This window comes from Homo sapiens, chromosome 19 (assembly GCF_000001405.40).
Source record: "Homo sapiens chromosome 19, GRCh38.p14 Primary Assembly".
NCBI classification, from domain to species: domain Eukaryota; kingdom Metazoa; phylum Chordata; class Mammalia; order Primates; family Hominidae; genus Homo; species Homo sapiens.
The window spans coordinates 58,056,746-58,077,623 of record NC_000019.10 but is presented as its reverse complement, the minus strand read 5'-3'; the positions used below and the strand labels follow the sequence as shown (position 1 = coordinate 58,077,623).

At 49.5% G+C, this 20,878-nt stretch overlaps 1 protein-coding gene and 1 pseudogene across 13 annotated transcripts; both read right to left on the bottom strand.

The window, feature by feature from the left end:
• On the bottom strand, positions 7,336-7,654 carry RN7SL526P (RNA, 7SL, cytoplasmic 526, pseudogene; annotated as a pseudogene).
• On the bottom strand, positions 7,869-18,385 carry ZNF135 (zinc finger protein 135). Of its 13 annotated transcripts, none has more exons than XM_006723362.5 (5): positions 18,314-18,385; positions 17,589-17,655; positions 15,918-16,044; positions 14,083-14,178; positions 7,869-10,919 (listed from the first exon to the last, which is right to left on the bottom strand). In XM_006723362.5, the coding sequence occupies exons 2-5, from the start codon at positions 17,619-17,621 to the stop codon at positions 9,163-9,165; spliced, it is 2,013 nt and encodes a 670-aa protein (XP_006723425.1). In that variant the 5' UTR covers positions 17,622-17,655; positions 18,314-18,385; the 3' UTR covers positions 7,869-9,162. The 13 variants fall into 13 exon arrangements, with proteins under 13 accessions (XP_006723425.1, XP_047295318.1, NP_001158002.1 ...); XM_047439362.1 differs by having other exon boundaries at positions 7,869-10,883; positions 17,589-17,650; NM_001164530.1 differs by lacking the exon at positions 17,589-17,655 and having other exon boundaries at positions 7,869-9,216; positions 10,057-10,883.
• Positions 18,386-20,878: the final 2,493 nt, after the last annotated feature.

The window sequence follows — 20,878 nt, the reverse complement described above, 5'->3', positions numbered from 1 at the left end:
GAGTCCAGTGAAGTCAGTGATTTATTAGTAGCTGTTCCTTCAACCTGAGAGGCTCCTGGGATGGGGCCACACTTGGGAACTATGGGCTTCGCAGACAAACTGCTTCAGGAAGTTTGGGCACAGTTCTCACTTGAGGCTTCCGGGTCTGTTTCAGAATCACCCAGTGCCTTGGTGTGCAGATTACCAAACCCCCTCGGACCAACCAAAGCAAGGTCCCAGGTTTAACACCCTCCACCTTCAGGTGGTTTTCACTCACATCAAAATGGGAGATCCATTACCCTTGGCAGTGCTGGGTTCTGTCTTCCCAGTGTCCATGCAGAAGTCTCTAAGACGAGGGTTGCTGGAACCAGGGGTCGATCCAGATTTGTTGGGCCTAAGGCTCACACAACTGAGGGGTCCCTCTTCAGAAGAATAATTCAAAATTACAAAGATAAAATTAGGCGCTTGGTCTTGAAGGGATCCCTGAAAGTGAGGGACCTAGAGTTTCAGCTTACTTTCATGGCAAATCCATGAAGCCAGAGCCTCAAAACATAGTGCAGCCCAGCCTTCCCTCAACTCGAGAGAACATGAATTTGTAGAAAGGTTCCCAGATGTCTCAATGAAATGAACAGCTTTCCAAAGTCCAGCCTCTGGCTGACCAGGTAGCTCTTGAGACACAGGCTCCTGAGGGACCAGCCACATGCGATGGGGGCAACTGCCAGGGAAATCTGCTCAGTGAGAGGGTGGCTTCTGGGACATGGTAAATCTAAGCTCCCCAGCTCCTCACCAAGGCCCCAGTACTGGGGAGGTCTCTCCAGCTGTGGCTCTGCCTGTCTTTTCACGGAGGTTTGCCCTGATGCCATGGTTTTAATGTGACGTCCCTCACCCCATTCACCAAACACAATAATCCCCAAGTTGTTATCATCTCTGGGCTGGTATTCATCTTATCACTTTTTTTTTTTTTTTTTTTTTTGAGACAAAGTCTTGCTCTTGTCGCCCAGGCTGGAGTGCAGTGGCACAATCTCGGCTCACTGCAAGCAATTCTTCTGCCTCAGCCTCCCGAGTAGCTGGGATTACAGGCTTCTGCCACCATGCCTGGGTAATTTTTGTATTTTTTAGTAAAGACAGGGTTTCACCATGTTCTCCAGGCTGGTCTCGAACTCCTGACCTCAGGTGATCCACCCGCCTCAGCCTCACAAAGTGTTGAAATTACAGGTGTGAACCACTGCGTCTGGCCCGTCTTACTGTGTTTTCTCCGCTATGACTCACCTTGCTTTTCTTCTGATGACTTGCTTTGCCTATCTTGCCCACTAACTTGCAACCCACATAGGGCCAGGGGCATTTTCTGTGTGGTTTATACTTGTTTACTCTGGGCTCAAAGAGAAGAATAAACGAATCAATTCCTTTGACAGTAAACCCTGAGACCTTCCTTTAAAGCCCTCACTCTCCTAAAATAAACAGAACTTGGGGGTGAGTGTGTGACAGAAATGCGTGGACCATGGTGGAGTGGTGGCTCATGACTATAATCCAAGTGCTTTGGGAGGCCAAGGTGGGAGGATTGCTTGAGTCTGGGAGTTCGAGACCAGCCTGGACAACATAGTGGGCCCCTGTCTTAATAAAAAATAAAAAATTAGCTGGGCATGGTGGTGCATGCCTGTAGTCTCAGCTACTAAGGAGGCTAAGGCAGGATTGTTTAAGCCCAGGAGTTCCAGGCTACAGAGAACTATGATCACACCACTGCCCTCCAGCCTGGGTGACAGAGTAAGACCCTAAGGATTTAAAAAAAAAAAAAAAGAAAGAAAGAAAAAGAAATGGCATGGAGCGGCCTTTGAAGGCAGAAAAGCCTCCCAGCAGAAATCTAAATCACTGAGTTCAGATGTGAGCCAGCGATGTGTGGTTTCATGGTGTCACTCTTGGCTTCTCCTAAGGACAGCTAAAGCTTAAACCTCCTCCTCTCTATAAGAATGTATACGGTATCTAAATATATACATCTGTGTGCTGCTATATAAAGTATGTGTGTACTATAACAAAGAGACTGTCTTCAGAAACAGCCTCTTTTTTTGGGCATTTAATGGGCATGACAGTTTTACAAGTAACGCAAATGAACGGATGTTTTACATTCACTTTATACTTTGCCACACGCTTTGGGATTCCAGGAGCTCATTTAATCATCACTGCACTTTGAGGGGCAGGTAATTTACCAGTTGTGTGTGTGTGTGTGTGTGTGTGTGTGTGTGTGTTTTCTCTTTTTTTTTTTTTTTTTTGAGACAGAGCCTTTCTCTGTTGCCCAGGCTACAGTGTAGTGGTGCAATCCTGGTTTAGTGCAACCTCTGCCTCCCGGGTTCAAGCAACTCTCCTGCCTCAGCCTCCCAAGTAGCTGGCAGTAAAGGCACGCACCACCACGCATGGCTAATATATATATATATATTTTTTGTATTTTTAGTAGAGACAGGATTTCACCATGTTGACCAGGCTGGTCTCAAACTGCTGACCTCAAATGATCCATCCATCTTGGCTTCCCAAAGTGCTGGGATTACAGGCATGAGCCACCACACCCAGCTTACTAGTTGTGTTTCTTTAATTGGATTGAATTTGTGTTACCTGCCATGGGGCTAAACCAAAAAGGAATGAATTGGCTCAGGTAACTGAGAAGTCCAGAGAGGCTGTGCGCAGTGGCTCATGCCTGTAATCCCAGCATTTGGGAGGCTGAGACAAGAGGATCGCTTGGGCCCAGGAGTTTGAGACCAGCCTGGGCAACATAGCAAGACCTCATCTCTAAAAAAATTTAAAAGTTAACCAGGCATGGTGGCACATGCCTGTAGTCCCACCTACTCAGGAGGCTGAGGTGGGACAGATAGATCATTTGAGCCCAGGAGGTTGAAGCTACAGCCTTCGTGACAAAGCAAAACCCTACCTCAAAAAAAAAAAAAAAAAAAAAAAAAAAAAAGTCCAGAGGACTTGGGGTTTCCCTTCTTCTTTTTTTTTTTTTTTTTTGAGGCGGAGTTTCGCTCTTGTTGCCCAGGCTGGAGTGCAATTGTGCGAACTCGGCTCACTTCAACCTCTGCCTTCCGGTTTCAAGAGATTCTCCTGCCTCAGCCTCCCTAGTAGCTGGGAGTACAGGCACGTGCCACCATGCCCGGCTAATTTTGTGTTTTTAGTAGAGACGGGGTTTCTCCATGTTGGCCAGGCTGGTCTTGAACTCTCGACCTCAGGCAATCTGCCTGCCTTGGCCTCACAAAGTGCTGGGATTACAGGCTTGAGCCACTGCGCCCAGCCTGGGGTTTCCCTTCTTGGACCATTTTGTTTCTACATAACACTTACTGTGTAATGTGCCCATAACATCCTAATTTCTCTATTTTCCATTTCCCCACCAAAATATAAGCTCCTGAGACCACGAGTTTCATCAGTTTAGTTGCCAGAGTCTGGAATTGTGCCTGAGCTATAGTTGGTGCTTGGAAAATACTTGCTGCCTGAAAGAATCTCCCTCTCACATACAGTATAAGAGGAGACTCAGGAGGGACAGTGACTACCACACGTCAGTCCTACCCAGTGCTTCCACAAAACTTCCAACGGCCCTGGCTGTGTTAGTCTGTTTACACGGCTATAAAGGAATACCTGAGGATGGGTAATTTACAAAGAAAAGAGATTTATTTGGCTCACGGTTCTGCAGGCTGTACAGGAAGCATAGTGCTGGCATCTGCACTATGGGGAGGCCTCAGGAAGCTTCCAATCATGGCGGAAGGCAAAGGGGAGCTGGTGCATCATATAGTGAGAGAGAAAACAAGAGAGAGGGGAGGAAGTGCCAGGCTCCTTTAAATAACCATCTCTTGGGTGAACTCATAAAGGGAGAACTCACTCATTACCATGAGGACAGCACTAAGCCATTCATGTGGGATCCACCCCATAGCCCACATACCTCACACTAGGCCCCACCTCCAACACTGGGGATCACATTTCAACATGAGATTTGGAGGGGACAAATATCCAAACCATCGCACCAGCTTTCCTGACTTTTTTTCAGAAACACAATGGGAAGCCAAAGGATACTTAATTCTCTACTTTCTACGATTCTTCCACTCAAGATGCATTTTTGGCTGCCAGTCACCAGAAATCCAACTCAAAATTGTATACACTTTAGGATATTATTTACTTTTTTTTTTTTTAGAAACATGGTCTGGAGTGCAGTGGTGAAACCATACCTCACTGCAGCCTCAAATACCTGGGTTCAAGTGATAGTCCTGCCTTAGCCTACTGCGTAGCTGGGAGTACAGGCACACGCTACCATGACTGGCTAATTTTTTATCTGTTGTATAGATGGGGTCTCACTATGTTGCCCAGGCTGGTCTTGAACTCCTGGGTTCGAGCAAGCCTCCCAAAGTGCTGGGATTACAGGCATGAGCCACCACGCCCAGCTGAGGTTATTATTTATTTGCTGTGAAAGACCAGGATGCAAGGTCCAGGGTGGGGCCCCTGCTTGAATTGTAGATGAGTTTGGGCTTTGCTGTCTTCTCTGAGTTGACTCTGTACAGGATGGTCCTCTCTGTGCTTGCAGGTGGTAGGCAGCATACTTCTCCCTTTGCATCCAGAAAGAGACAGAACCTTTCCTTGCTAAAGAACCAGACCTTCCTCTCAGTCTCATGGCTGCACACCCAGAAACTGTGCTCACTGTGTTAGGCCGTTCTTGTGTTACTATCAAGAAATGCCTGAGATTGAGTAATTTATAAAAAAGAGAGGTTTAACAGGCTCATAGTTCTGCAGGCTGTACAGGAAGCAGGGCACTGGCATCTGCTCAGCTTCTGGGGAGGCCTCAGGAAGCTTTTACTCATGGTGGAAGGGGAAGTAGGAGCAGACATATCACATGGCCAGAGGAGGAGCAAGAGGCAGTGTGGAGTGGAGCGGCTGCCTGCACAGTTAAAAAAACAGACCTCAGGCTGGGTGCAGTGACTTGCTCCTGTAATCCCAGCACTTTGGGAGACCAAGGCGGGTGGATCACCTGAGGTCAGGAGTTTGAGACCAGCCTGGCCAACATGGTGAAACCTTGTCTCTACTAAAAATACAAAAATTAGCCAGGCACGGTGGCACACACCTGTAATCACAGCTACTTGGGAGGCTGAGGCAGGAGAATTACTTGAGCCCAGGAGGTGGAGGCTGCAGTGAGCCTTGATCATGCCATTGCACTCCGGCCTGGGCAACAGAGCTAGACTCTGTCTCAAAAAAAAAAAAAAGGCACATTCAAGGATGACTTTATGACTTTGGTCGGCTCCACCATGTGTGGGGCCTCAGCTGGGAACTTGAAGGCTGAGGTACCTTGAAAGCTGGGAGGCTGGAATCATCTGAAGACTGTTCTGTCACAGGCCTGATGAGGCTGGGGAGATTCAGACTAGGAGTGAACTGACACCCTGAGCAGAGCCTGTGTGGCTTCATCCTCACAGCATGGTGGCCTTGGGCCAGTGGGTTTCTCAAGTGGTGTCTCAGGGCTCCAAGCACAAGTGTTCCAGCAAAAAAAGACAGACGCTGTATGGCCTTTTCTGAACTAGCCTCAGAACTCTCCCTCATTCTTATTTCACCTGCATTCACCTGTTTTCCCACTTGATCTTCTACTTGTGTGCCAATAACTGAGGCGTAGTAAGCAAGGTCCTCTAGACTCAGGAGGGTGTAACCCCCACAGTGCCCTTCCACTGGCTTGGCACCATCAGGGAGAGGAATCTCATCTCTTTCCCTGGCTTAGGAGAGAAGTGATACTGTGGGCACCTCTCTGTAGTACCCAATCCTTGCTGTATTTCCCCTGTGTCGCTGAAGGAGGTCTGATGAAGAGGGGCTGAGTGGAGAGGAAAGAACTCACATTACCGTTTCTTGGTGATTATGCCAATCTAGCACTTTCAAAGGACTGCAAAAGTGCATGTGCCAGATTCCATTTTTACTGAACTGAACTGGAATAGACTGGCCATAATCTCTTTCCTGAATGTAATGTTCTGTGATAAGAATAATATCCTAGGGAGCCTGAAATGAGTAGGCACCTGTCATTCCAATTACCTAAAGCAGCAGATCTTCCTAGCACATTTGGTTTCCTTGAGCACAAGATGCTACACAAGGATAGGAACACAGGGAAAGGCAGGAGGACACAGGTAGTAAAGGGAAGGAGGACAAAACAGCTGACCAAAGACCAAACTGTTGAGCTGCACGTGTCAAATGGGCACTTGAAATGTCGCTATGGTCAACTCTGAGATGTGATGCAAGTATAAGATGCACACTAGGCTGGGAGTGGTGGCTCACGCCTGTAATCCCAGCACTCTGGGAGGCCGAGGCGGGCGGATCACATGAGGTCAGGAGTTCGAGACCAGCCTGACCAACATGGAGAAACCCCATCTCTACTAAAACTACAAAATTAGCCAGGCGTGGTGGCACATGCCTGTAGTCCCAGGTACTCGGGAGGCTGAGGTAGGAGAATCACTTGAACCCGGGAGGCGGAGGTTGCAGTGAGCCAAGATTGTGCCATTGCACTCCAGCCTGGGTGACAGAGGGAGGCTCCGTCTCAAAAAAAAAAAAAAAAAAAAAGATGCACACTAGATTCTGAAGATGTCACGTAACAGAAAGAATGCAAATATCTCAATAATTTTTCATATTGGTATGTTAAACTGCTAACATTTGAGATATATAGGGGTAAATTTTAGTTTCACCTGTTTCTTCTTGCGTTTTCTTTCTTTTTGAGACAGTCTTGCTCTGTCACCCAGGCTAGAGTGCAGTGGTGCAATCTTGGCTCACTGACGCCTCCCAGGCTCAAGCAATTCTCGTGCCTCAGCCTCCCGAGTAGCTGGGATTACAGGTGCATGCCACTGCACCCAGCTAATTTTTGTATTTTTAGCAGAGACATGGTTTCGCCATGTTGGGCAGGCTGGCCTCAACTGATCTGCCCACCTCAGCCTCCCAAAGTGCTGGGATTACAGGCATGAGCCACTGTGCCTGGGCCTCTTCTTGTTTTTTAAATGGGGCTACCAGAATATTTAAAGTTATTTATATGACTTGCATTGTTTCAATGAGACAGTGCTGCTATGCACTGTGTACCCTGGCTTTCTCCAGTGGCTTTTATTTTTTAGAGATGGTGTCTCGCTGTGTTGCCCAGGCTGGAGCACAGTGGCTATTCATAGGCACGATCCCACTAATGATCAGCATGGGAGTTTTTTTTTTTTTTTTGAGGTTGAGTTTTACTCTTGTCACATAGGCTGGAGTACATTGGCACAATCTAGGCTCACTGTAACCTCCGCCTCCCAGGCTCAAGTGATTCTACTGCCTCAGCCTCCAAAATTGCTGAGATTACAAGCATGCACCACCGTGCCCAGCTAATTTTGTAATTTCAGTAGAGACGGGGTGTCACCATGTTGGCCAGGCTGGTCCTGAACTCCTGACCTCAGGTGATCTGCCCACCTTGGCCTCCCAAAGTGCCGGGATTACAGATGTGAGCCCTACCAGCATGGGAGTTTTGACCTGCTCTGGTTCACCCCTACATAGGCAAGCTGGTGGTCATCTGCTCCCAGGAGGTCATCATATTGATGCCAAACTTAGTGTGGACACCCAATCAGTAGAGCACACTACAGCCCAGAACTCCTGGGTTCAAGTGATCCTCCTGCCTCAACCTCCCAAGCAGCTGGGACTAGAGGCAGGTGCAGCCATGCCTGGCTCTCCGGTGGCTTGTAAATGACAAAGGCATTTATCCCAAGAGGCACTCCACAATCATAATGAGAAGCAATATTGGAAGACTATCTGCAACATGGTCTCCCCAAGAGAGAAATTTCAAGTAACTGGAAATTTATATCCCAGCATTGGGATTAGAAAAATCAAATTGATGGATGTAACCACAACTAACAGCTAATAACCAAAAACAGCCAATGCAATTTTTTTTTTTTTTTCTGAGACAGAGTTTCACTCTTGTTGCCCAGGCTGGAGTGCAATGGTACGATCTCAGCTCACTGCAACCTCCATCTCCCGACCTCAGGTGATCCTCCCACCTTGGCCTCCCAAAGTGCTGGGATTACAGGCATAAGTCACCGCGCCTGGCCAGCCAATGCAATTTCTAATGAGGGCAGCAAGTCACCATTTAAAGGTTATAGTTGTCAGAAAGACTGCTATTTGTGGACTTAGGGTTTAACAAAATGTTAAATTGTATGAAAACAATGAAAAAGCAGTTTGAGAGGATTAACTTGAACATATCCCAAAAAAGATGAATCTTGCAAAACAGAAGTTTCTAACATGAATTTGCTATTGCTTATAAGACGATGGTTTAACAAAGGAAAAATCTCCCTTTTTGTAAAACAAATATCTGTGTTTCTAACGCGAGTTCTGCAGAGAAATGTAGAGGGAGAACAGAGCAGCAAAAGCCATCTCAGAATCAGTGAGACTCTACGGAAGCAGCTTTACATTTTGAGTCTTCCCATACAAAGCTTTTCAATCTCATTGCATATAAAGATTAATTGCAAAAATAATGCAGGGATAACTAAAAACCTGTTTATAGTACACTGATACTTTGTCATATGTAATTCCAATCTGTGACTGGCTGCCATGTACCCTGATCAAACAATATACACACAGACAAGACAGCTGTTTACTGAGACAGTCAGTATCCACAGTGATTCCATAAAGATGCCACTCTCATTTCTGGAACACTCTGCCATACTGTCATTTGGGAATGAATATCAGAGTCAACCTGCACCATTCATAAGCACTTTCCCCCCCAAAAATGTGATGTGCAATAATGGCAAATTCTGACTTCATTTGGTTCTCGTATATATGAAAGGCATTTGTTGGGTTTCTCACCAATTTGAACATCTCTGGTTTGGAATACGGTGAATCCTTGGACAAAAGCGTTCCCTGGATCCACTACATTTGTTCCATTTCTTTTTTGTAGGTTCTATAACATAGCACTAATGGGCGTTCAAGGCTGAAGGTCCTGAGTGTTGATTATCTCCACGTTTCCCTACTATTTGGATGCAGAGATGGATGACCTAGAGCTTGGTGGTCCCATGGTCATTTCCCATCAGTGTGAACTCTCTGAGGGTGTCTGAGGGGAGTGCTGTGTGAAAAGGCTTGTGTATGAATGTACGTTTCTCATGTGTATGATTGGGTCAAATCTAGAAAGGGATGAGCTATGGCTTAAGGTCTTCCTATGTCCCCAGCACATGTGGAGTGGGTTTATCCAGTGTGAGTTCTCTGGTGCTTGGTAAGGGAGGAGCTGTGGGTAAAGGCCTTTCCACAGTCCCTGCATGCATATGGCTTCTCTCCTGTGTGGATCCTCCGGTGCTGAGTGAGGTGGGTGCTCTGCCTAAAGGACTTTCCGCAATCGTGACACTCATAGGGCTTTTCCCCAGTGTGCGTCCTTTCGTGCTGGCTGAGCGAGGAGCTGTGGCTGAAGGATTTCCCACACTCATTGCACCCATACGGCTTTTCCTTGGTGTGAATCCTCTGGTGTTCGATGAGAAGGGAGCTCTGGCTGAAGGCTCTGCCACACTGGTTACATTCATAGGGTTTCTCTCCTGTGTGGATCCTCTGATGCTGAATGAGGGGAGCAAGCTGGCTGAAGGCTCTGCCACACTGGTTGCATTCGTAGGGCTTCTCCCCAGTGTGGATTCGCTGATGTTTGGTGAGGGACGAGCTGTGACTGAATGCCTTGCCGCAGTCATTGCATTCATAGGGCTTCTCCCCTGTGTGGATTCGCTGGTGTTGGGTGAGGTGTGTGCTCTGCCGGAAGGCCTTCCCACACTGACTGCACTCATAGGGCTTCTCTCCTGTGTGTGTCCGCTCATGCTGGCTGAGTGAGGAGCTGTGGCTGAAGGTTTTCCCACACTCGTTGCATCCATAGGGCTTCTCTCCTGTGTGAATCCTCCGATGCTCGGTCAGGAGTGTGCTCTGACTGAAGGCTTTCCCACACTCACCACACTCATAGGGCTTTTCTCCTGTGTGGGTCCTCTGGTGCTGAATCAGTGGTGTGATCTGGGTGAAGGCTTTTCCACACTCATGGCACTCGTAGGGCTTCTCCCCTGTGTGGATTCGCTGGTGTTTGGTCAAGGATGAGCTGTGGCTGAAGGCCTTGCCACACTCACCACACTGATAGGGTTTCTCCCCAGTGTGGATTCGCAGATGCTGGGTGAGGTGGATGCTTTGCCGGAAGGCTTTCCCACACTCACTGCACTCGTAGGGCTTCTCGCCTGTGTGAGTTCGCTCGTGCTGGCTGAAGGAGGACCTAAAACTGAAGGATTTCCCACATTCGCTGCATTCATAGGGCTTCTCACCTGTGTGAGTTCTCTGGTGCTGGATCAGTGGGGCAATTTGGTTGAAGGTCCTCCCACACTGAGTGCATTTATAGGGTTTCTCCCCAGTATGGATTCTCTGGTGTTTGGTAAGTGCCGAGCTGTTCCGGAAGCCTTTTAAGCATTCGTGACATTCGTAAGGTCTCTCTCCTGTGTGCGTCCGGTGGTGTTCGATAAGTGCTGAGCTGTGACTAAAGGCCTTTCCGCATTCCTGACATTTGTAGGGTTTCTCTTTTACACAGGTTTTCTGTAAAACATTTAGGTCTGGCTTCTCCCTTTTTCCACGTGTTCCCCATGTGTGGGGGCTTTGTCTTTCAGGAGTCATTGGTTGATGTGGGAGATCAGGGTTCAGACTTATGTTTTCCCCAAACCCATTCCTCTGCCACTGCTCCAGAACAGGCGTCTTCACAGGCGTGAAGGCCACCGGCACTGCCAGGCTCTCTAGACTCTCACAACTCCATTCCCAGTGGCCCTCAGTGTCCTCACCCCTGCAGTACCACAGACCATCCCACAGGAATCTTTCTACCAAGATGACACTGTTGGATATTTCTTCAGAGATGCCTTGCTTTAGAACTGACAGTTTGACTTTGGGTCTAGTTTCCAAGTCTGAAAGAAGCAAAAACTGGAAATGTCCCTTAATCTCTGTTCCACGGCAAAAGAGTTTGTGGTGAGATGGGAAGAGGAAGGATAAAACTAATTATTTTGAAACGTTCAAGGTTCAAGTGGCTTTGACCATTTAAAAATATAGTTTTGCAAACCAGGAAAGGAAGAGAGGGAAACACAGAATAAGGAAGAGGAAAATAAGGAATAAGGAAAGGAAGAGGAAAGAACAGAATAAGGAAAGGAAGAGGAGAGGGAGGAAAAAACAGTTGGCACAAGGAGTATGAATGGAGTCTGTGAGGGGAGCACAGAGGAGGATGCAGAGCGGATGCCCAGGAGAGAGCACTCAGACACACAGAGGCACTGGACTTGGAAGGAGCAGTGTGGCACCCAGGCTCCAGCTACAGTGGCCTCCACAATGCCAGGTGGCAACAGAGAAAAACGTGCTGCATGGGGAAAGTTGGCTGATACCCAGCTTCTTCCCGACAGCATATGCTGTTGTGCCACCTCACTCTAGATGTAAAGGAACCTAACTGCTCCCCACAAACAGGAATAGCTGCAATGTACATCACTAAGAGGAAGAAAAATGACCCGTGGCATATTAGAGTGCTTTGGTCTGCCTTATTTTGTCCATTTCACTAACTGGGAACCCCTTGAGGGTAGGGGTTTCCGTCCACCTTGCTTACCACTGTATCTATAGCCCACAGCAAGAGCTCAATATACATGCTTAATGAATGAACAAATGCATTCCCTCCTCCTCCTTCATGGCAGGACTCTCTTTTTGCCCTGGTACCCAGCCCTCTCTGCACAGCCATGACCTGGGTGTGTGCTGCCCCTACCCTGACCCCACAGTGGCCTAGAGGTGTGATGTGGGCACCTTCCCCATATTGTTATGTTTCAGTGAAAAGTTCAATTAAAAAAAAAAAAGTTAAGCCAGAGTGAATGGCAGAATAGTGGCTTCCCAAGATGCCCACATCCTAACCCTATAACCTGTATGTTTCCAATTACATGGGAGGGAGGAATTAAGGTTGCTAATCAGCTAACATTAAGATAGAGAAATTACACTGGATTATCTGGGTGGACCTGTGTAATCACGAGGGTCCTTAAATGGGGAAAAAAGGCAGAAGGGTCAGAGTCAGAGTGAATATGATGTGACTTGACCAGGCCTTGCTGACTGTGAAGATGGACAAGGCCATAGCCAAGGAATGTGGGTGCCTCTAGAAGCTGAAAAATGCAAAGAAACGGATTCTTAGCCAGGCACAGGGCCTCATGCCTGTAATCTCAACACTTTGGGCAGCTGAGGTGGGAGGACTCCTTGAGCCTAAGAGTTCAAGACATGCCTGGGCAAAATGATGAGACCTTGTTTCTACAAAAAATAAAAAAAAATTAGCTGGGCATGGTGACACACACCTGTAGTCTCAGCTACTCAGGAGGCTGAGGCAGGAGGATCACCTGAGCCCAGAAGGTCAAGGTTGCTGTGAGCCATGATCATACCACTGGACTCCATCCTAGGCAAGATAGCAAGACCCCATCTCTTAAAAAAACAAAAAGGAGAGAAAGAAATAGATTCTTCCCTTCCCTAGAGCCTCCAGAAGGAATGATGCCCTGCTGACATCTTTATTATATTCCAGCTAGACCCATTGTGGATTTCTGATCTCCCGAACTTTAAAATAATTTGCTTTGCTTTATGCTACGAAGTGTAGTATTGTTGACGCTTGAACAATGAGGGGGCTAGGGGCACTGACCCCAGTACAATCGAAAATCTGTGTATAGCCTTTGACTCCCCAAAAACTTAACTATTAATAGCTTATTGTTGACCATACTGATAAAATAAATAGTTAACACTTTGTTTTTTTTGAAACATGGTCTTGCTCTGTCACCCAGGCAGGAGCACAGTGGCGTGATCTTGGCTCATCACAACCTCCACCTCCTAGTTCAAGCAGTTCTCCTGCCTCAGCCTCCTGAGTAGCTGGGACTACAGGAGCGTGCCACCATGGCCAGCTAATTTTTTTTTTTTGTATTTTTTTTTTGTAGAGACGGGGTTTCACCATGTTGGCCAGGCTGGTCTTGAACTCCCGACCTCAAATACCACCTGCCATAGCCTCTCAAAGTGCTGGGATTATAGGTGTGAGCCACTGCTCCCAGCCCTTAATTAACACATATTTTGTATATGTATTATATAATGTGTTCTTAAAGTAAGCTAAAGAAAAAGCTATTTAAAAAAATCATAAGGAAGAGAAAATATATTTACTATGCATTAAATGGAAGTGGACCACCATAAAGATCTTCATCCTCATTGTCTTCACAGTGAGTAGGCTGAGGAGTAGGAGGAGGGGTTGGTCTTGCTGTCTCAGGGGTGGCTCAGGCAGAAGAAAATCCATGTATAAATGGACCCACACAGTTCAAACCCATGTTATTCACGGGTCATTTGTAACTGGTTGCAGGAGGAGCAATAGGAAGCTAATATATTGGGTAAGGGCTGTTATTGATGTGGAGGGACCCTACTGTGACCCTTTCCCACACTGGCCATCCCTCCTGGACTCTGGTGACAGGCCACTCTTCCCACCTGATGCCAATGGGAAATTGCCTGTCAGTGGGCTGGGATACCTCTGCTACCTACCAATCACCCTACAGGCACATGGCGTAGGGCCCAGCCTGGATCCACTGACCCACAGACACATGAATTATAAACAATTATTTGGTTTAAGCCACTGAGGTCAGAGTGTTTTCCTACACAAAAGCTGACTGATGCATGACTTCAGGCCTTTGCACCTGCTGTTTCCTCTGCCTGAAATACTACTGTTCACTCAGACTGCCTCATGGCTCAGGCTTCAAGTCACATGTCACCTCCTTGGAGAGGCTATCCCTCATCTCTCTGCTAAAGTCTACTCATCCCCCTCCTAGTCTACCTCATTGCTCATTTTCATTTTCTCGGCATTCATCACAATCTGTAATCATCCAACTTGTTTTATTATTATTATTTTACCGATTTATTGTTTGTTTCCCCCACTCCCTCACCAAGAATATAAATTCAGTGGAGATGAGGACGTGGTGTCGTCACTCACAGCAAAATGGGTGCTTGGTAAATCTTCACTAAGACTGAGTAGTAAATTTGCTCTGAAGAATTAGAGAGCAGATGCAGAGGGAGAAACCAGGAAGCAAGCATGGACAGGCTTCTCTCTGCCCCGAAGGGCTCCCATCTCACCTGGGTACACGCCTTGGGGAAGTCTAGACTCCACCGCCCACAGCTCTGCCTCTTGCTCCAGCAGGGAGATGACATTCGGCTTCGGTAACCAATGTCCTGCTCAGGGAGAGACCCATAGAGTGAGCATTTGTATCCCAGGACCCTTCCTGAGCCTCAGCCCATTCCACCTTTGGTCTTCCAGGTCCCAGATGGCTGGGGACCCCTGAGTGACTTCAGCTGTCATACCCACAGCCCTGGATGTTCCTCAGGGACTCATTCCCCTACTCTCAGTCCCTGACCCTACCACTGGTTCTGGGGTGGACATGTGACCCAAGCCTGGACAATCAGAACTCTGGTTCCTCCCCTGCCCACTGGCATCAATGATCACTGTGAAGAAGACCTGGCAGCCAAACCAGGACAACCCTGGGACACAGATCCTGTCTTTTCTGCTGGTCTTGGTTGCAGGAAAGGCACCCCAGGCAGTTGTCTTGTCACCTCCAGAGGAGCCTCTCTGGAAATGAAGCCAGAAAGAGATTGCTATGGTCTGAATGTTGGTGTCCCCCTAAAATTCAGGCTATGCATAGTGGCTTATGCCTGTAATTCCAGCACTTTGGGAGGCTGAGGTGGGAGGATCACTTTAGCCTAGAAGCTTGAGGGCAGCCTGGGCAACACAGCAAGGACCCGTCTCTACAAAAATTTTAAAAATTAGCTAGGTGTGGTGGTATGCACCTGTAGTCCCAGCTACTTGGAAGACTGAAATGGAAGGTTTACTTGAGCCAGGAGGTTAAGTGTGCAGTAAGTATGACTGTGCCACAGCACTCCACCCTGGGCAAGAGAACAAGACCCTGTTTCTTAAAAATAAAAAAGGTTCAGGCCGGACGCAGTGGCTCACGCCTGTAATCCCAGCACTTTGGGAGGCTAAGGTGGGTGCATCACGAGGTCAGGAGATCGAGACCATCCTGGCTAACACGGTGAAACCCCGTCTCTACTAAATATACAAAAAAAAAAAAAAATTAGCCAGGCGTGGTGGTGGGCACCTGTAGTCCCAGCTACTCAGGAAGATGAGGCAGGAGAATGGTGTGAACCCGGGAGGCAGAGCTTGCAGTGAGCCGAGATCGCACCACTGCACTCCAGCCCGGGTGACACAGCGAGACTCTGTCTCAAAAATAAAAAATTTAAAAACAAATAAATAAATAAATAAATAAATAAGGTTCAAATGTTAGAATGTAATACCTAATCTGATAGTGTTGAGGTGGGGCCTTGGGGAAGTGATTAATTCATGAGGGCTCCACTCATGAATGGGATCAGTGCCCTTATAAAAGAAGCTTGAGATAACTCCCTTGCCCTTATGGCATGTCAGGACACAGGAAGAAAGTGCCATCAGTGAGGAGCAAGCCCTCACCAAACACTGAATTTGCTGACACCTTGATCTTAGGCTTCCCAGCCTCCAGAACCATGAGCAACAAATATCTATTGTTTAAAATTACCCAGTCTAAGGTATTTTAGCAGCCCTAACAGACTAAGACAGAAGTGCAGAGGGAGGTGTTGAAGAAGGAGGGGCTCCTAACAGCTCTACAGAACACCCTGGTCTACCCTGGGATTCTGTAGTCTTCAGACCCAGTATGTTTCCCTCACCTCATGTTTCTCTGCTTCTGTTGATTTCAGGTTGAGTCTGAGACTTGCTAATATTGGTCTTAATTGATATTTCCTACATTAAAACAGTCAGGTTCTTAAAGCCCAAGACATACAGCCCCAGGCATTTGCTTTTAAAGCTCAGTCCTATAAATATTTAACCTGGTAGAATCAGAATCCGTGTCAGGGACAGATCAACAGATAGGACATGGGTGTGGCCTTACCCACAGAGACCAGAAGCCTGAAGGTGTCCAGCATTACATCACGGTACAGGGTCCTCTGGGCAGGCTTCAGCTGCCCCCACTCCTCCTGGCTGAAGCCCACTACCACGTCCTCAAACGTCACTTGCTCCTGAAACATCACACGAGTGTCCTCAGCCAAGCCAACCCTGGCACTGGCTGCTGGTGGGGTAGCTGGTAAATGCCAGCCAGGCTGGGTCGGATGGAGTTCCCTTTGGTCTGGGGTTTTGGGTCAGGTTTTTCTGTGGGGCCTGGATGGGTGCCCTGCTGATGAGGTGGAGGATCTTAGAATCTAAGGCATCATGCCCGTTTCCAATAATTTGTCTCTTGAAATAAGAAATGGAGGGAGCCAGCAATAAAGGAGTGGACCAGCCCAGCATGGTGTCGCATGCCCGTGGTCCCAGCTGCTTAACAGGCTGAGGTGGGAGGATCACTTGAGCACGTAAGTTTGAAGCACAGTGAGCCATGATTGCATCACTGCACTTCAGCCTAGGGGATAAACAAAGTTATAAAGCTAGTAGCAGAAGTCTAAAGACTGAATCTGGGTGGTTTTTTTTTTCCCCCGAGACGGAGTCTCGCTTTGTCGCCCAGGCTAGAGTGCAGTGGCATGATCTTGGCTCACTGCAAGCTCCGCCTCCTGGGTTCACGCCATTCTCCTGCCTCAGCCTCTCGAGTAGCTGGGACTACAGGCGCCCGCCACCCCCCCGGCTAATTTTTTTTTGTATTTTTAGTAGAGACGGGGTTTCACCGTGTTCGCCAGGATGGTCTCGATCTCCTGACCTCGTGATCCGCCCACCTCGGCCTCCCAAAGTGCTGGGATTACAGGTGCGAGCCACCGCGCCCGGCCAAATCTGGGTTTGTTTTTTAATTTTTTAGAGACAGGGTTCCACTGTCATTCAGGCTGGAGTGCAGTGGCACATCATGGCTCACTGCAGCCTCCAACTCCTGGGCTCAAGCAATCCTCCCCCATAGCTGGGATTACAGCTACAAGCCATCGCACCAGTCCCCTTGTACGGGTTTTCTGACATTCCTACAGGAGGCTGGTTTCTTCTGGTGGCTTATGGGTGGGGTTAATGTCATCATAAAAAGGCGAGTTCCGCCCCCTTGGCCTCCATGACGTCTGAGGAAGCGGCACTCGATGCGCCATCTTGGAGCGCAGAGCATGCTAAGGCCTTCAACTTCAGACTGCAGAGCCGGGGCACCTACAATTTTCTGACATCACCCAGCCTCAGGTATGCAATGACGGCCGCACAAACATAAAGCCCACTCAGACAGGGACCCGTGCCCGCTGACCTCCAGCGCGGCGTGGGCGGTCCTTTCAGAGGCAGGCTGTGGTTGGGGAGCTTGGCGCGGACTTTAGGAGGCCGGGTGTGCAGGTAGAGGCCGGACACGAGTAGAGGCTAGATGTGCAAATAGAGGCCGGGCACGAGTAGAGGCCGGGCACCAGTAGAGGCCAGGTGCGCGAGTAGAGGCCAGTTGTGCGAGTAGAGGCCGGGCACGAGTAGGGGCCGGGCACGCAAGTAGGGGCCGGGCACAAGGAGGAGGCTGAGCGCGAGTAGGGACGGGGTGCAAAGAGGAGGCCGGGCGTGAGAAGGCCGCGCGCGAGGAGGCCGGGCACGAGGTGGAGGACACGCGCAAGGAGGCCGAGATTCTCACCGGGTCTGTGGAGACGCGCACCCCAGGGGTCATGCCCTGGCTTCTGGCAGGAACGGCTGGCCCTGCTCTGTGGGAAAGGGGAGGTGAGCAGCTGGGGCAGGCAGAGGCGGTGCTCAGGTCCCCAAGCCGGGGAACTGCGCCAGAGCCTGGGGAGCTCCGCGGAGAGCCGTCCAGGGCCCCGCGTACCCGTTTAAGCGCCTGCTGTGTGTGGGGCGGCCCTCCGCTCGGAGAAGGGCAGCCTAGGGTTTTCCCGCCTGTCTGAGGGAAGCTGAAGGCCTGGCGGGTGCGGACACATATCTGCTGCGCAGACTCTGAGCCTTAACGCTACAGTGACAAGGGCCGGGTGGTTGCGGTCCCCTGGCCCTGGGCACTATGCCTCAGTTTCTCTCTTCCATCAACAAAGGTGGCGGCCCAGTGCCCGGTGTGGGGCAGAGGTGGGGCCAGGGGCGGGGCGCGCGTTCCCTCAGGGGCCGTCGGAGCAGCTCCTGTCCAGCTGGGCGTTGGGCCCCGCCCTCCTCTCAGACTAGGGATGCCCCGCAAAGCCTGCCCCCGCCAGCCCCGAAACGGCCTTCCCCAGGCCCCGGGCAGCAAAACGGACTCCACACAGACGCGCGCTGCTGGAAACTCGCCCCGCCAGGGCCTCAGGAAGATCCCCGGACCCCCCGCACCCGGCCCGGCCCGGCCCGGCCTGGCCTCCCCTCCCCCTCCTCGCCGGCCTAGCTCACCCTCCTGACTGCGAGACAAAGGCCGCGGCACCGGCAGCCGACACTGCGCCGGCGCGAGCCTAACTCCATTTCCCAGAGAGCCGCGCGCGCATTTCCGGCCGCCCTCCCCCACCTCGCTCTCGCCCTTGGCGTTCGTGAGCTCTCAGTGCTGCTGGAGCTGGAGTGACTGGGCCTGGTGAAACAGGGCGCGCGGGGTGCCTGGGCATCAACGCGGGATAAGTGCCGCTTGGAACGCCGTGAGCTCCCGGCGCGACCACACGGGCTTTCGTGTTGGAAACTCTACCGTCAGTTTTACTGCTGCAAACAAAGCAATGATTTTTTCAAAACACATACTTTCAACCAAAACATTCACCAAGATCGCACACACGGGAGTCTTTGCATTTTCCACACTGAGGCAGCCATGGAGACTTCACACTGTATTTATTACATGGTTATAAGGAACATCACGTGCAAGACACTAACAATTATGACGACTTTGGACATTGCTAGGTAATTGTCAAAATTGTGCATTTGAACAGCAGCAAAATATTCAAAGCTGGTGTGCCCTCGCTGACACGAAATGAATTGTCATTTTCTGAACATTCACCAAAGCCTGCCAGGCGCTAGGCCTAGGTTCAGCAGCACACAATAGTGAAGCCCCCATTCAAGCGGGCTTCGTTTCACCAGCGTACGTCACACGTCCGTGGAGCAGCGAGACCAGAGGAGCTGGGAAAGCCAGGGCTGAGCCTTGTGCTTTTGCCCTTTTAAGGGAGGACAGATTAATTCCAATCAGCCTGGGCTTGGGAGCTGTATTTGAAGCAGAGGAAAAGTTTTAAGACGGGCATTTTTTTTTCTTTGACTGAAACAACTCTGAAAACAGCAGAGAACACAATACGAATTCTCGTACCACACACAGACACTTGCAAAGATTTGGCTGGTTAACACACAAGTTAAGACTTTAAATTTCATAAGCCCTAAAACAGTGGCAATTATGAAGAGATATAATGGCTCAAAATCATAATGCACTGATGTAAACAAAGCAAAGGCAAGCTTCTTGGCTTTTAAGGGCGTCCTGTACATTCCAAGTACTGTAAAGCCCCACATTTGTGACCGTCGCACTGAAAGCCAGCCTGCTTTTCACTCTACAGCAGTAAAGAGGCTTTCCATTATACATAAAATGCCGTTTTTCAGTTCTCGAACTCACAAACCCAAATGCCACAAAACATCTTTTTGTGTATTTTTTCTTTCACAAAATGTATACTCTTGCCCCCCACCCCCACCCCCAACCGTTTCCTTTTACTGGATCAAAAGGTATGAACACACAACTCATGGTGAAGTCTTTTTCCCAAGCGGTCTGATAGTCCTGGTGAGAAGCTGTCAGTGGTGCCACACTGAGCCTGCTCAGCCCTGATGGTGGCCAGGCGGCCCTGCCCAGCTCCCTCAAACTTGCCCCTCTGTTTCCTCCCTCAGACCTTCTGATCCTCTGTTTTTCTCAGCCAGGTTTCTAAACCGTACATGCTTTTGCAGGGGCGGGCTCTTTCTACAGGGGCAAGTGCTGCTTGGCTCCAGCCAAGTGGGGTCGTGCGGACTGGCAAGCCCAGCGTCCCAGGTCTGGATTTCTCTAAAGAACCCAGAGATCAGGATTTCTATGTGAAATCTCTTGATTTTTAAAAGCTGGTAGGGATTTCAAAGGCTTTAATAACACTCTACCAGTCAAATAAGATGAGCTGGAGGCTACTCCAGTGCCACCCTTGCTGTGGTCTGAACCTCCTGCTGTCTCTTGTAACCACTGGCTGGGCCCCTCTCAGCTCCTTCTTGGCTTCCTGTACGAATCTCCAAGCAGAGCATTGCTGGTTGCCTCTCTGTGGCCTGGAACAGGACCCCCCACCATGAGCAGGTGGGCTGCACATCAGTACAGCTTCCAAGCAATCCTGCAATCACAGCATGGATAGCAGAACTGTGTCATGCTGTATGTTAATGTTCAAAAAGTTAATCTGTTCAACACATACATTTAAAATATACTGTAACAGTTACAGCTCCCTGGACATATTTCTCCCTTTAAAAAAAAAATCTTTTTGACAGCTTCAAAACCTGGCAGTGTCCAGGCCTCCTCTGACCCAAGAGACCCTGGCTGCCAGGGAGAAAGGTGGCGTCTGAGACTCCGGTCTTCCAGAGCGTGAAGTGCCCAGGGCTGGGCTCACAGCTCCTGTGACAAGGGCTGGAGGACAGGAGACTGGGGCACATCGTGATGGGGGTGTTGGAGTCTTTGGGGGGTGCTGGCAGAGGAAGGCACAGGGCAAGGGAGGCGTGCTGAGGTGCTGGGGCTTCCACAGCTGGGGTGAACCCAAAGAGAAGAGAGGGGCTAGTGCTCTGTCTCACTGCAGCTCGGGCAGGGGCTTGGGACTGGGCAAGTTAGGTGAAGAACACCACGTGGTGGCTTTCGTGAGTTGCAGCAGCTGCCACAACTGGTCCAGCACCCTGGGCCAAGTCCTTGCTTCTGTCAGCCAAGGTGTAGCACGTGAGAGTGGCCCTCCAGGACCCTGGGCCACGTCCTTGCTTCTGTCAGCCAAGGTGGAGCACACAAGA

Bases quoted from the DNA above. Each gene is read 5' to 3' on its own strand.
- ZNF135 (NM_007134.1), bottom strand. From the start codon at position 18,382: ATGGAGTTAGGCTCGCGCCGGCGCAGTGTCGGCTGCCGGTGCCGCGGC. The intron at 14,179-15,917 runs GTAAGGCCACAC...CTCCCTGAGCAG, and splicing joins CAGGCTTCTGGTCTCTGTGG to GACATTGGTTACCGAAGCCG. The intron at 10,920-14,082 runs GTGAGATGGGAG...GCCGTGGAACAG, and splicing joins TCCCCAAGGCGTGTACCCAG to AGATTAAGGGACATTTCCAG.